Source organism: Homo sapiens, chromosome 2, assembly GCF_000001405.40.
Source record: "Homo sapiens chromosome 2, GRCh38.p14 Primary Assembly".
In the NCBI taxonomy this organism is placed as follows: domain Eukaryota; kingdom Metazoa; phylum Chordata; class Mammalia; order Primates; family Hominidae; genus Homo; species Homo sapiens.
In genome coordinates this window covers 36,285,872-36,300,300 of record NC_000002.12, presented here as the reverse complement: position 1 = coordinate 36,300,300, position 14,429 = coordinate 36,285,872, and the positions used below count along the sequence as shown (strand labels likewise).

The following is a 14,429-nucleotide window of genomic DNA, read 5'->3' as shown; positions in this document are numbered from 1 at the left end:
CCTACCGAGTAGCTGGGATTACAGGCATGCACCACAATGCCTGGTTTTTTTTTTTTCTTTTTTTGGTATTTTTAGTAGAGGTGGGGTTTCACCATGTTGGCCAGGCTGGTCTCAAACTCCTAACCTCAAGTGATCCACCTCAGCCTCCCAAACTGCTGGGATTACAGGCGTGAGCCACCATGCCTGGCCAGGAGGTTGAGATTTTAAACACGGAAATCAGAGAAGACTCTTATGGGAAGGTGATATTTAACTCAAAAATGGAAAAACTAACTGTATTTCCTATTTTCCTGGAATGCATTGTCCCCAGTCTCCATGACAATGTATATCCTACCTGCCCTATAAACCAAGCCACAGTGGTTTTCAAGGTTTTACTGAAAAAATATTTGTTGTTTATCTGAAATTAAAATTTAACTGGGCCTTTTGGCTGGAACTGCCATCTTTCAGTAATTTGCCAAAGTGATGAACGTAGAGGGAAAGAGGAGAGGCACCTGATAGATGTCCTCCAGGCCTTTCAGAAAATATTGAGTTGCTCTTATAAGAAAGGTAATATTGTAGACATCAAGGGAATGGGTACTGTCCAAAAAGGAAGGCCCCACAAGTGTTACCATGGCAAAACTGGAAGAGTCTACAATACTACCCAGCATGCTGTTGGCATTTTTGTAAATAAACAAGGTAGGGGCAAGATTCTTGCCAAGAGAATTGATGTGTAGATTGTGCACGTTAAGCACTCTGAGAGTCAAGATAGCTTCCTGAAATGTGTGAAGGAAAATGATCAGAAAAACAAGGAAGCCAAAGAGAAAGGTACCTGGGTTTGACTGAAGCGCCAGCCTGCTCCATTAGAGAACACTGTGTAAGAACCAATGGGAAGGAGCCTGAGCTGCTGGAACCTCTTCCCTCTGGAGTCATTGCATAATAGACGTAAAAAAAATAAAAGACCTCTGGATGTTTCTTTTCACTGAGTAGAAGTGTGATGTCCCCTCCCCCAAATAAATCTTTAAAGCCAAAAAACAGATTTACATGTGTGTCCTGTGTTTTGTCTGGCATCCCTGGCATCCCAATGTCCCCCACTCCCAGCTGGAAATATTCCATCTCCCTTAGGAACCGCCTTGCCACCCTCTTCCTCTCTCATGGCACTGTTGGCTCCTGTGTCCTCACAGTTATATGGAGACAAATTTTATTGCTCCTGCTCTATGAAAGCAAATTCAGGTCAAACCTTACCTGATTATTTTTTTAAATTTTTCATTTTTAAGTTTTATTTTTTAAAGACAGTATCTCACACCATCACCCAGGCTGGAGTGCAGTGGCATCATCCTAGCTCACTGCAAACTGTAACTCCTGGGCTCAAGCTATCTTCCTACCTCAGCCTCCCAAGTAGGGACTACAGGCACATGCCACCAATTTTTTATGTTTCTTGTAAAGTTGGTGTCTCACTTTGTTGCCCAGGCTGTTCTCGAACTCCTGGCCTCAAGCAATCCTCTCTTCTCAGCCTCACAAGGTGCTGGGATTACAGACATGAGCCACTGCGCCCAGCCTGACTCATCTCTTTGTCTCCTCAACATGTAGCAGAGAACTGGTACTTAGTAGGTGCACCTATATTTGTTTAATGGATGCACAGGGTGCTTATATAGACTTTGAGATGAGAATGTTTGTGAAATAAGCAAGTTCTTCAGGGTCACAGCCTTTTACCTGACAGCAGAGTCATCTGCCACCTCAAGTTTGTGTTTCTCAAAATACTAAGTAGGCTAAATGTCTCAATTGTCTGCTCCCATATTCTTCTCTGTTGAAGTATCAGGTGACACCTTGCTCAGTACAAAGTATTTAGGCTGCTCTTGCAGTAAGCACACACTAACACAGTTGCTCGTTGACTGATATATATATATGCATTTGAGAGGCCTCCCAAGGCTGGGTAGAACTAGATACTCCAACACTTGGTGATTGATCTGAATCGCTAGGGTGGAGTCTCTGAGGATGTTCATCTGGTTGGAATTCCAGGGATCTTGAAGAGTTATGTAGTTCAAACCTCCCCAGATTTGCGGGGTTTCCCTCTAGATGTTTTCACCCCATTATTTGTCATCCAGCAGGTACCAAGCATTTCCGATAGCATGAACCATGTGACTTCCCAATACTCCTTGTGACTTTTAGTTCCTTTCCTCACCCATTCCACAGTCTTTGTCTTCCCAGAGTGTAGAGCTCTGGGCAAGCCAGATCAGGTTTCCATCGGTGTCCTTTCTGCAAGTGTTTCTGGGGCGGCTGCCTCGGCCCTGTGTTATCTGTCACCGCTCCATCTGCTTTCTGTCTCACAGAAATTTGCCAAAATCTATCATCCTCTGATGGCTTTCCTCCCCTCGTTTCTTGCTGTAGGTTTATACATTTTTTATCATTTAGTTTTTTTTTTTTTTAAGAGGCTGTCTGGAAGGAGACGAATTAAACATGTGAGTTTATTTTGCTATCTTGCAGAAGTCTGCAATGCAATCTTAAATATTCCATGTGACCCCTTTTTGCCTTAAAATGTCTCTTAAATCAACCACATCTAGTCATAATATTCTCACTTCCTGGGAATCATGACACTTAGGAAATCACTGTGAATCCTGCAGGAGCCAGGGGTGTGCTGGAGTGCACTCATACCAATATATGAGAGCCGATTCTGTGGATCTCTTCCTAGCTCTGCCATGTTGGTACCTTGGCATTGGCCATGTGGGAGAATTTACACCATGGAAATTGGCAAATGCTACAAATCTTGCTTCCTCCAGACCCTACACAGAGCCAGTCATCTGAGTATATTTTGTGGGAGCAAGGTTAATGTGGAATAAAATCTTTTTCCCACAACACTCGGGCACTCATCATCCCTTAGCAAAATTCCTTATTAGCCTGGCTAAGCAATCCCTTGACAGTCAGGGAGTAGAGTTGGAGAGAATGTGGTACATTTCAAGAAAGAGGAATTTTAATTGCAGAAAATCAGGTCATAAAGGCCCAGAGCACAGCAAATTTCAAGAGAGCCATTTGGAGAGAGCCATCCTAAAGAGGTATTGCTAAATGAAAGCAGGAGCAAGTGCCAATGCTAACTTCAAAATTAGCTGAGGATTTTAGAGGATGAACAAGGAGAGTGCTTGATGCAGAGACAAAAAGTCTGTTTTTTCTTCTGGAAGGAGCTGACCTTGCTGGAGCTAGGGTGAATCATTTATTTCCCCTTTTCTTCTCCCTGCAACAGGGACCTGACACATATGCTTAACTACCAGGAACAGCAGCAAGTGCAAACACCTGCTGGCACTGCTAATTACCAAACACCCCCCAGGATGAGGGCACGGGCTTAACACCTGGGCAGAGGTAGCTGACTCTGTTAGAACTAGAGAACGTTCGCTTTGCAGTTACTGCAGATATCTGGATCATTAATCAGAGAAATAGTGCTTTGTACCTGAGAAGTAAAGCCTGAGAGAGTCTTTTACTTTCGATTAGCAGGCATTTGTTACAAAAAGAACACAGACAGATTTCCTTAGCTTTTCTGTAGCAGGGAACATTGACACCTTAGAAGAGCCTGATGTGAACTCATTTGTATTTAGGTAAAATTTGTTGCCTGAAACATTAGTGAAAGGTGTACTCACCAGATTGCCTCCTCTGCAAATGATCATATAGTACTTCTTTATGATCAGGTTGTGCAGCTATTTATTTTAAACCGAGGCACTTCGCTAACGTGAGTAATGTAATGACTGTTAAAAGACTACTGAAAACACTATTTGACCATCTCCCTGATATAGTTTGGCTCTGTGTCCCCACCTAAATCTCATGTTGAATTAAGATCTTCAGTATTGGAGGAGGGGCCTAGTGGGAGGTGATTGGATCACGGGTGCAGATTTCCCTCATGTTGTTCTCCTGATAGTGAGTTCTCACAAGATCTGGTTGTTTAAAGGTGTGTAGCACTTCCCTCTTCACTCTTTCTCTCCTGTTGCCATGTGAAGATGTGCCTACTTCCCCTTTGCCTTCTGCCTTGACTGTGAGTTTCCTGAGGCCTCCCCAGCCATCCCTTCTGCACAGCCTGCAGAACTGTGAGTCAATTAAATCTCTTTTCTTTGTAAACTACCCAGTCTCAGGTAGTTCTTTACAGCAATGTGAGAACGGACTAATACATTCCCTTTCCTTTTTACTATGTCCTGCAGCCTTTTTAGTATTTCTAACTTATTTGTTGTTGGAAAATTAATAATTGCAATATTTTTTGAGTATTTTCTACACGCCATTTTACTGGGCACTGTGGTAAGAACTGCATAAAAATGAACTCATATAATCCTTATAACAACTCCATTAGAAAGGAATTGTCTCTTGTGTCCCCCGTCTCCTACAGCCAATTTACAGATGAGGAAACTGAGGCTTGGAAAGGTTAAGAGAGCTGACTAAGGCCTCTTTCCATCTATCTGGCCTGCCCATTTTGATGCTTTTGAGGGCAACATGCAGGAGAGAGCTGTCTCTTCGCACTTATCTCAGAATGGGATATTTTGGCATTCTTTCAATTTTGAGTCTCTGTCACAACTCAAGTTTTTTCCTCACTCAGCTGATTTGTGACAAGGGTCCCCTCTGCCTTCCTGGGACTATGGGTCAGGCATGTAGCCTGTGCTTTCTAGAAAGGGAACTAATGTTCTGTGGCCTGGAGCAAATGTTCACAACCAACCTGTACAGGGGACTCGTATCAAGATTATATCTGGGTTTTGAGATTAAGTGAAGTCATTGTTTTTCTGGTTCTGTGCATAAACTTTATAATTGATATTATTGTACACTGTGTTGTAAATGTTAGTAATTTTCTACTTGTCTGCACTGCAGATGTTTAAAGGATTTTTGTAGTTATTTTAGAATAAAGAAAAATGGGAAAGTCTGTGTCTTCCACTCATGAACCTGAACATAATTTCTACTTTCAAGATAATGTAAAAGGAAGTATATTTCATCTAGGCACCATGGCTAGAAAACAAAAAGCAACAACAAGAGCCCTTTGAAGACAATTAATCTTCCTCAGAGTAGTATCTCTATTGCAGACATAATCCAAAAGGGAGCTTGGTTATTTATCTGCTGCCATTTGAGGAGATAACAAAAGTTAAGATTTCTTCAAAGCAAGTGCTAATCACATAACTTTTATTTAAACATTTACAAATTAACATGAAACTATCATTCTAGGAAATTCTTGGACTTATTTGAACCTCTTTTATATTCACCAGAATTGAAGGGATTTTAAATCAAGGTGAGATAAATTGTATTGAGTACTGCTTCTCAAAATGTAAGCTAAACCACCTGCATCAGAATTAAATGGGCTGCCTATTAAAACGCAGGTTTCTAGGCCCCAACTGGACTTATTGAACCAGCATCTTTGTGTTTTGGGCCCAGGAATCTGACTTTTTAGAGAGTTTTTCAAGTGACTCCCCTCTTCCCATGCCACACACTATAATGATTGAGAGCTACTGGAATGGAGGAAAATACCTCAGCTTTATTGTCTTACAGACCTGAATCTTGGCTATGTCATTTCACAGTAGAATGACCTTGGCAAAATGCTTAACTTCTTGGTCTTCCTGTTTTCTCATTTGTAAAATGAGAATACTACTACTTTCCTATAAAGGATAGATGTCATGTATAAAAGCTGCCTGGTACAGTGCCTGGCATACTGTAAATTCTCAACACATGCAGCTATTATTACTGCTCTTTCATCACTATGGTGAAATAGCCTCTCTGGATGCCAACAGAGCTGAGAGTCTCATAATACATCATTTCATACTTTGCATCAATTAACTTTTCAAGAGGTTAACTTGAAGTGGAAGGAAGACATTGATGGAATGGAAGAATGTGTCATTCAGGAAAGCTGCGGTCACCTGTGGTTTGAGAAATGCCCTCTCCCAGAGCAGTGGTTCCTGAACCTCAGAAACCATCAGACACTCCGAGAGTACTTATTACACATGCAGATTCTGGGGCTCCACGTGGTGCTGGCCAAATCAGAGCTGTGACATGGAGACCCAGAATTTGTATATATAATAAGCTTCTAAGTTGATTCTTAGGAAGCACAGAACAATTTTGGGGAGCACAGCCTAGAGAACTAAGTGTTTTATCTCCCTGATGTTATAGAACTCTTTTCTTCCTTCCGATCCAAACACTGAATCCAGGGAATATGACTTCAATTGGCAATGGTGATACTAGTGGCAGTAGTAATAATTAGTAAAAATAATAGCTAACACTTATTGAGCCCTTTCTGTGAGCCGGGTATTGTTTTAAACTTTAGATGCATTGATTATTTAATCCTCACAGCAGTACACAAAGACAGGTGATATGATTATCTACAGAGAGAAAACAGGCAGAGTTGCCAAGTGCAGAGCAAGGCTGGGGAGCTTGTGCCCTTAACCACTAGGCTACACTGCATCGTTCTACTTAAGCAAAGAACAGATGAATTTAAGAGTCAGTTAAGATACATTGAGTTCCTTCCCTCTGCATTTCCAAAGTAAGAAGAGAGCTTTACGTCTTTAGCTTAAATGAGAATCAAGTTTTGCTAGTTAGGAGGAGGGGGAGGGTTTGCAGCCAGGTCAGCCTTCTGGGAAGCTGGTGTGGGGAAGGGACCGACCCAGGCAGACACCACAGATGTTCTGGAACAGTCTTGTCAGGTAGCTTGAACCAGATTATGGGATCATGGTTAGACAGAGGCACTAGCCTGGCCTTCTCCCCATTCACTGCAACACGCTGGCACACTGCGGGATTCACAGGGAGGGGCTGCGCGGTGTTTCCTCCCTAAGCATGACAGTGAGCGGAGAAAGCTAGCCTTAAGGCTCAGCACCGTACTCCTGCCAGGAAAGCAAGCATCTTTCTGCTTGGAATCCTCCAGGGCTTATTTGTAGGTCCTTGGAGGCTATTTCCTTTTTTTTGCCCCAGGCCCAAGACTTCATTTTTTTTTTTTTTTCTATTAAGTCACTCTCCCTTCAAAAATGGCTGGTGTTTCCATCTTCAGTGTCCCTGAAGATAAGCTTGCAAACTCTTTATTATAACAGTCTTACTAATAGTTGCTGGAGGGAACTAGGAAATGGCAGAAACCAAACCTAATGAGCACAGCCAGAATACACAGAAGTGGAGAATCAAATAGTGTTTTCAATACCGCCGATGTACCTGGGATTGTTCCTGACTCCCTTTCTCCTTCAATCAGGTTATCTTTTATTCATTTTATCTCTCCTAACCTCTACAGTTCTGGTGTACCAGAGAGGACTCCTTATCAATCTCAGTCTGTTCACTGAGCAAGCAGGCCTGGTGACTTTGCTATGTAGAATAAATGTTGTTAATACTATGTACTAAGTGCTGTTTCTAGGGCTTCTAATGCTCGCTTTCTCCAACTTGAGTGTACAGTAGAATCTCCCAGAGATTTTGGTATAATTGCTGGACCCTACCCCTGGAGTAGGTCTGCTATGGGAATGAGAATTTGCGTTTCTTTCTTTCTTTCTTTCTTTTTTTTTTTTTTTGAGACAGAGTCTCACTCTGTTGCCCAGGCTAGAGTGCAATGGCACATTCTTGACTCACTGCAGCCTCTGGTTCCTGGGTCTCCTGCCTTAGCCTCCTGAGTAGCTGGGATTACAGGTGCACTCTACCATGGCTGGCTAATTTTTGTACTTTTAGTAGAGACAGGATTTTGCCATCTTGGCCAGGCTGGTCTTCAACTCCCGACCTCAGGTGATCCTCCTGGCTTGGCCTCCCAAAATGCTTGGGATTATGGGCATATAGGCATTAGCCACTGTGCCAGGCCTTTGTCTTCTTTTTTTTTTTTTCCCAAGACAGGGTCTTGCTCTACCACCTAGGCTGAAATTCAGTGGCCTAATCATAGTTCACTGCAGCCTTGACTTCCCAGGCTCAAGTGATCCTCCCAACTCAGCCTCCCTAGCACCTGGGACTATAGGCATGTGCCACCACACCCAGCTAATTTTTGTAGAGATGGGGTTTTGCCATGTTGCCCGGTTGGTCTTGAACTCCTGGCCTCAAGCAATCCACCCGTCTTGACCTCCCAAAGTGTTGGAATTATGGGCGTGAGCCACCACGCCTGGCCTGGATAATCTGCATTTCTAACAGCTTCTTAGCTACTACTGCTGCTTCTGGTGAAGGAACTACACTTAAGAGAATCACTGCTCTGCTAAACCCAGGCATGTAGATATAACTCAGACTGAAAATCAGTCATTCCAAGGAGTAAGGGGACCAGATAAAATGCAAAATGCCTATTTAAATTTGAATTTCAGGTAAACATGAGTTTTTAATGTACAGATGTCCCGAATATTGCATGGGACATACTTATACTAAAAAATTATCTGTTGTTTATCTGAAATTCAAATTTATTGGAGTGTCTGTGTATCCTGCATATTTATTTAAGTCTGGCAACTCTATTTCAAGAGCAGATTTATGAGCCTCTTGATAGTATAATAGCTATCCTGGTGACTCAGGCTATCTTCTTTGGTATTTTCCTTCCACCTCTCTAGCTTTCAGGCTCCTAGCATGGATCTCCTAACTTTGAGATGGGTCCTTCCTGTCCCAATCTTCCACTGAGACACCCTCTGGGATCCATTATTATCCCAGGGTAACTGTAGTAGTGTCCCCTGGAGCTTAGTATGACCATGTGTCCCCAGGGGGGCATTCTTCTTCTGTATCTGAATCTTACAATACGCTTTAATAGTGAGGATTTCTGGTCGAGGCAAAAGGTGAAGCCCACAAAATACACAGTCAGCTTCCTACTTTGTGAATGCCAGGATCAGCTAAGCTGATGCACCGGAGGACTCCTTACCAAGCTCAGTCTATCCACTGAGCAAGCAGGCCTGGTGACTTTGCTATGTAGAATAAATGTTGTTAATACTATGCAGTAAGTAACTTGGCAAGTTAAAGATTGCCAAGGTAAAGATTGGAGTCTGTGTTTGCTTTTAAAATCCCAACATTTCTCCTGTAGATGCATTTCTGAAGTTTGACAAGCTTACTTGCTAGCATGCGTCAACTTCAGAATGTTTGTAAAAGTAGCAGGAGATTTTATTTGACGCTGATTATAAAAGGGATGATAACGACAAGACAAATCCTAAAATTATAGAATGGAGATCAATCTTATGAGACTTGGGTTCAATTAGAGTTTAACATCCAAGGCCCTGTCTTCTACTTCTGGTCATTTCCAAAAGGAACACTGTATTAGGACTCACAGCCCATCATCATGGTGAAGACAGCAGGGTTTGGACCTCACAATTTTCTGGAGTTAACATTTTTGTTAACTCCAGAATTTTTGGAGTTAACATTTAGAAAGACAACATAGTTCTCTTGTTTCAGATACTAATTATTCTGATTCAAAGAGCAGTATCTCGAAGTGTTTTTCCAGTAATATAGTCCTATTTCTAGCACTCTAATAAAGCTAATCAGAGCCCTGAGGCTTTATTTTTGTTTTTCTCTGAGGAATGGAATTCTGTTAAGTATTTGTGTCATAATTCTATAACCTACCATTGTTTGAGAAACAGATGTTACAGGATAATGCAGTCAAAAGCGAGAAGAAATGACTAGCTGAGAACAAATATTTATTTTTGCATGCTATGCCCATCTATCTAGTGCCTTCCCATAATGATTCGTCAATGAATGAAAAGTCAAGTAATAAATGTGTCTGTTGTTTGTGTGCAAAAATGTTATTACTAACACACCCTTAGCAGTGGCATACATTTTGAGTGTTTTTCCATTAGTCGTGATGTATTTGGTTAATGCCGCTCATAGGCTGTTGCCTGACCATACTGACAATCAGTAGCTGGCATCTGCAAAGTAGATGGCCAAGAATTTCTGGTGTTTTCTGTGGTCAAGGAAAAGTGCCAGATTTTTGCTTCTAAGGAAGAATGAGCCCATTTTCTCAACCCCGTTAACATTGTGTCTTTGCACTGCATAGCACATGCTGTAATACTACATGGCAACAGATGGGGATAGCAGAGATTTGGAGGATTTAATAAAGTTGAAAGGTTTTATGCGTTTTCTTACCAGGAAAGCCAACCTCCTCTATTCTTGCTATACACTCCATGTGCTAACTAAAGACCAAATATAGCAGCAGGAAAAACAGTAGCCAGTTAATGAGTTCTCAATTTACATTCCAAACTAATAAGCTAATTTTTTGTTTGTTTGGCTTAACAGGTTGAGCTTTATTTACAAACCATTAACCAGCCATTAATAAATGAAAGAGTTTGGATTTCATAAATATTTTTTAAATCACACAACACATTTAACATTTTAATACTCAGAAATAATGTCTGTTTTAGGCAAAATCCAAGATTTAACTGAGATCCCATTACCTGCAAATAGCCCAGACATTCTGATGCAATCCAATGGAGAACTGGTAGTGGACTTCATTTAGGTCATGACTCTGCCATTTACTAGTGTGTGACCTTGGCAAGCTACCCAAGTTCTCTTTGCCTCAGGTTCCTAATTTTTGTCAAATGGAGGCAATCGTTATTACCAACCTCATAGGAATGTTTCTAGCATTAAATGAAACAATGCTGATCAAGTGCTTAGTACAGAGTGAGCACTCAATATATATTAGCTGTAAATACAATAAAATAAGACACAATGTAAACTCCGTCCTTGGCTATGCCTTGATAAATCTCTTATTACATTTGCAATTATTGCATGAAGTAGAGACTATATTGCCTACTTGCCAAAATTCAGCCAATGATTATTTAAATTTTGGAATAAACACATTTTACATACTAGGGATTCACTGGATACCACTAGTAAATACATTAAGGGAGCACCTAATAAATTAAAGACCTCTTATATTTTAGGTCATTGTTCTAGAATAAACTTTTATCTAAAGCTGTGAAGAGACAGTACTAAATAAATATAGTTTCATTTGACTTCATTAAATATAGTTGTTTCTAATATCATTTTCTCATTTATTAATAAGCTTTAGTAATTTAAAATTCTCTTAATTGCTCTTCTCTGTAATAATATTTCAACTGACCTGGACTGTGAAATCATATATTAATTATATGCTTTACATTGAACATTTTAACACTTATTTTCAATTTCTACTTGATGAAAATGTTATGTTTTTCATATAGCATGTGCTTGAAAAGTAAGTTTTTTGCACTGCAATTTATTGAAATACAATAATCCAATGATAACAATGACATATAATTCAATACATGTACATACAATAATACAGTGCCATATTTGTAATTTGTTTTGATTGATTAAATTGATTTTACACTAATTGTTTTGGATTTGGCCTTGGCACTTTGATAACACATACATTTGTAGCTTGGTGCATTTTCTATCAGGCGAAATGAGGAGGGAGAGCCAGTGTGTCTATGGTGCTAAGAAAGGAGGATGTTTACTTGGTCGGTGTAATGTTGGATCCATCAAACAAAGGGGACCAGCTTCATTTATGCAGACTCTAACCTTTGCCTGCTATAGTCATTGCTAACATGAGGACAAAAGCTGCAGTTGGAAAGATCTGAGAAGAGAAAGCTTGAAGTGGAGGAAACTCTAGTCTTTTGAAATATATCTTATGGTTGTGAGTGTGGTGTGGTTATTTGTATGGAGAAACGTGACCAACCCATTAGACTTCAAAGTTATACTTTTACGCATTTGTCATAATTTCCCCTATCATAAGTCATGGTGTATGTAATCACTTCTAATTCCAGAGGCTGGTTATTGTTGTTGTTTTTAATTTATTTGCATCATTTATTTGGTTCATGTCATTGTTTCTAACCCTCCTTGTTGAAATCTTCCAGGAAGCAACCCTTGTTTACAAGAGGAAACAAACAAGCTTTCCTCTTATAAAAGCTCCTGTAAGTCCAACTTTCTTTTGGACATACATCCTTCAGTACATAGGGTGTATCATTCCACTGACTGTAACACCAAGGATTTTCATAATCACTTTTCACCCCTGGAATATCATATTGCAGGAAGTATTTTGAAGGTTTTGTTTTTCCCCCGTTGAAGTATTGTTTCTAAGTCTATGATTTTTGGATTTGGGCAGAAGTACCACTAAGCCCTTGGAAAACCAGTGAGTGGAAACTGTACTCTCTTTAGAGCTTTGGATTCTGTGGTTCTGGCTCTCCCTGCAGCAGGCATGGCTTGGTGACGAAGGATAGTAGTGATGGAAGAGAGTTGGACAAGTTAGATGAGGTGGCATCAGTGGTAGTATGGGTGCTTAGATCATTCAAATTGTGAAAACTTAGTGTCGATGATTTCCTGGGTGCAACCATTTTCTTTGGTGTGGCCCCCAGTTTCCATGATGATGCTGTCATGAATCACAGAGGCCCAAGAATCAACAGATAGGGGTGTGGGGAAGGAAGGGCATTGGCTAAGGGGACACACAGAACAGCAAATCTTCTGTGTCTTCTGTTTGCTCTCCCACTTTGCTTGAGGAACTTAAGAATCCCTTTGGGGGCTATTTTTGAAACTACTCTAATGTTAGGACATGCACCCCTACTCTAGTTTCCTCCTCTGTGGTCATCGATCAAGGTTTCATTTCGGTGGTTCTTTTTTCCATGAGGGACTCTGTATAAGCTATGAGTGTTCTTGAAAATCATCTCTGTAAAAGTGAAATACACATTTTCTGGTTCAATTATTCTGTGAATTGTTCTGATAAAATCAATTCCCATTTTATATCTTAAATGTTTTGCAGGACTTAGAAGAAGAGACAGAGAAGCATTGCATCATACCCAGCACATGAGCTTGGTCTTTTCCCAATATTCACAAAGGCCTGTGCTTATTGTCTTGTCTTAACTCATTTCGTCTCCTTTTGTTCAGTTAATGGCTGATGTCATGTCTCTTGGCTCTTCCTGAAAGATAAGCTGGGCTTGCATTGTTTATTTTTTTACATACTAGCACGTATCAAGTCATATTCAACAGAACTAGCATTATTAGTCACTTACTGTATATGCTTTATATACTGAGCCTTATTCAGGATACCTTTATATCTTTCCTCATTTAAATCTTGACTCAAGGATACAAGATGAACATTCCTTTCACTCTCAATAAGAGGTTCTGAAACTCAGGAAGTGTAAATAATATGTTCAAGGTTAAATATCTAATGAATGGTACACACATATTCAAAACTAATTCAATTCAACTCCTAATTTCATGTTTCTTCACTAGGCTACAGTAAAAAACTTTGAACTTTTATGGTAAAGACTCAGAACTTTGCTTTTTGAGTGCTGGATTATTTCATATATAGCTCAACACTGTTTTTATGTCATTTGGATTTCTTTCCAGATAATGTTTTCCTTCCTACACTCTCACTGAATTTCAACATTCACAAATCAAGATTCCTTTTTCTGTGGTTCAAATACATAGTATCGATTCATTCTATTTTCAGCACAGTGCAAGGCACTGTAGGGGATACAAAAATAAATGAGCTGTTGTCGAGAATCTTAGGAGCTTCCATTTTAATAGCAAAGGAGTGAGTATAAGACCTATGTGTAAATGTCCGCAATGTGGAAGCAGAATAAAAGTGCCATTATTGAGACGCAACCCGTGGTAAGGAATTCACAAGGAGGAGAAGGCAACTGCAGAAGCCTCTTATCTGTGGATCTTCGTTAAGGTTTGCCTTATTTGCTGTGGTGCTTACGAAGGGTGGGGAGCAGAGACAATGGTTGTTGGTTCCATTTAATAGTTCATTGTCATGGCTATTTTGTGCAAATGGCTTACATTTGGTGAGAAATAATAAATGCAAAAGAGAATCTAGGCAGGAATAGGACATGCAGATATTCCTTTATTTTGATGAAATTTGCTTCAGGGTATGACAGTGAAGATAACTTCTAACAGAGTGGAAAAAAAAAGCCTACCCCTCTCACCATAGTTACATTCAGTCTGACAACCAACAAGTTCTTCATTCAATTTAATGCTAAATATACGAAATTTATTGAGTCGGGAGGAACAATGATGAACTGAAGCTTATATTCTACAGACAAAATAGAATGTCTATAAAAATAAATACCCCATGGTAGGAAGTGATAAAAATCATTAGAGAAGGACAAAAAAAGTCATCGTTCTATTTGGGAGAAGGAAGAGGTTATTTTTACTAGAGGGATCAGGGAAGACTATTAGAAGGAGGTGATAGTTAATATGAATAGTCAATTTCTGTTAATTGCTAACTAACCAAATACCAGGCTTGGACTATCTTAATCATTTATTAGCTCATTTAATTCTTGCAAACACCCTGTAAGGTGGATGCTATTATTCTCTCACTTCTTCTGCCCCAATCCCCATTTTTTCAGGAAGCAAAACGAAGGCATAGAGATTAAATAGCTTGCAATAAGTGGTGCAGTTTGGCTCTAGAGTCTGGCCATTTAACCATAGAGCTCTATTCCTCACCAGACTGCATCATGGAGGTTGAATGTAAGTGGATTTCCCACACAAGCTAATAGAGCTAGTAGATAAACAGTGGGAGGAAAGGGTGAGGAAAGGATGGAGAATAAGGTCAC

The 14,429-nt window shown here is 40.2% G+C and overlaps 1 pseudogene, besides 1 other annotated feature; it reads left to right on the top strand.

Moving 5' to 3' along the window:
• On the top strand, positions 417-942 carry RPL21P36 (ribosomal protein L21 pseudogene 36; annotated as a pseudogene).
• Positions 11,946-13,145: an enhancer, noted in NCBI's record as "CDK7 strongly-dependent group 2 enhancer chr2:36514299-36515498 (GRCh37/hg19 assembly coordinates)". NCBI's record gives its function as "activates an origin of replication core promoter dependent on BRD2, BRD4, P300/CBP, MED14 and CDK7 cofactors, with strong dependence on CDK7, by STARR-seq in HCT116 cells {active_cell/tissue: HCT116}" and the evidence as "EXISTENCE:reporter gene assay evidence [ECO:0000049][PMID:35650434]".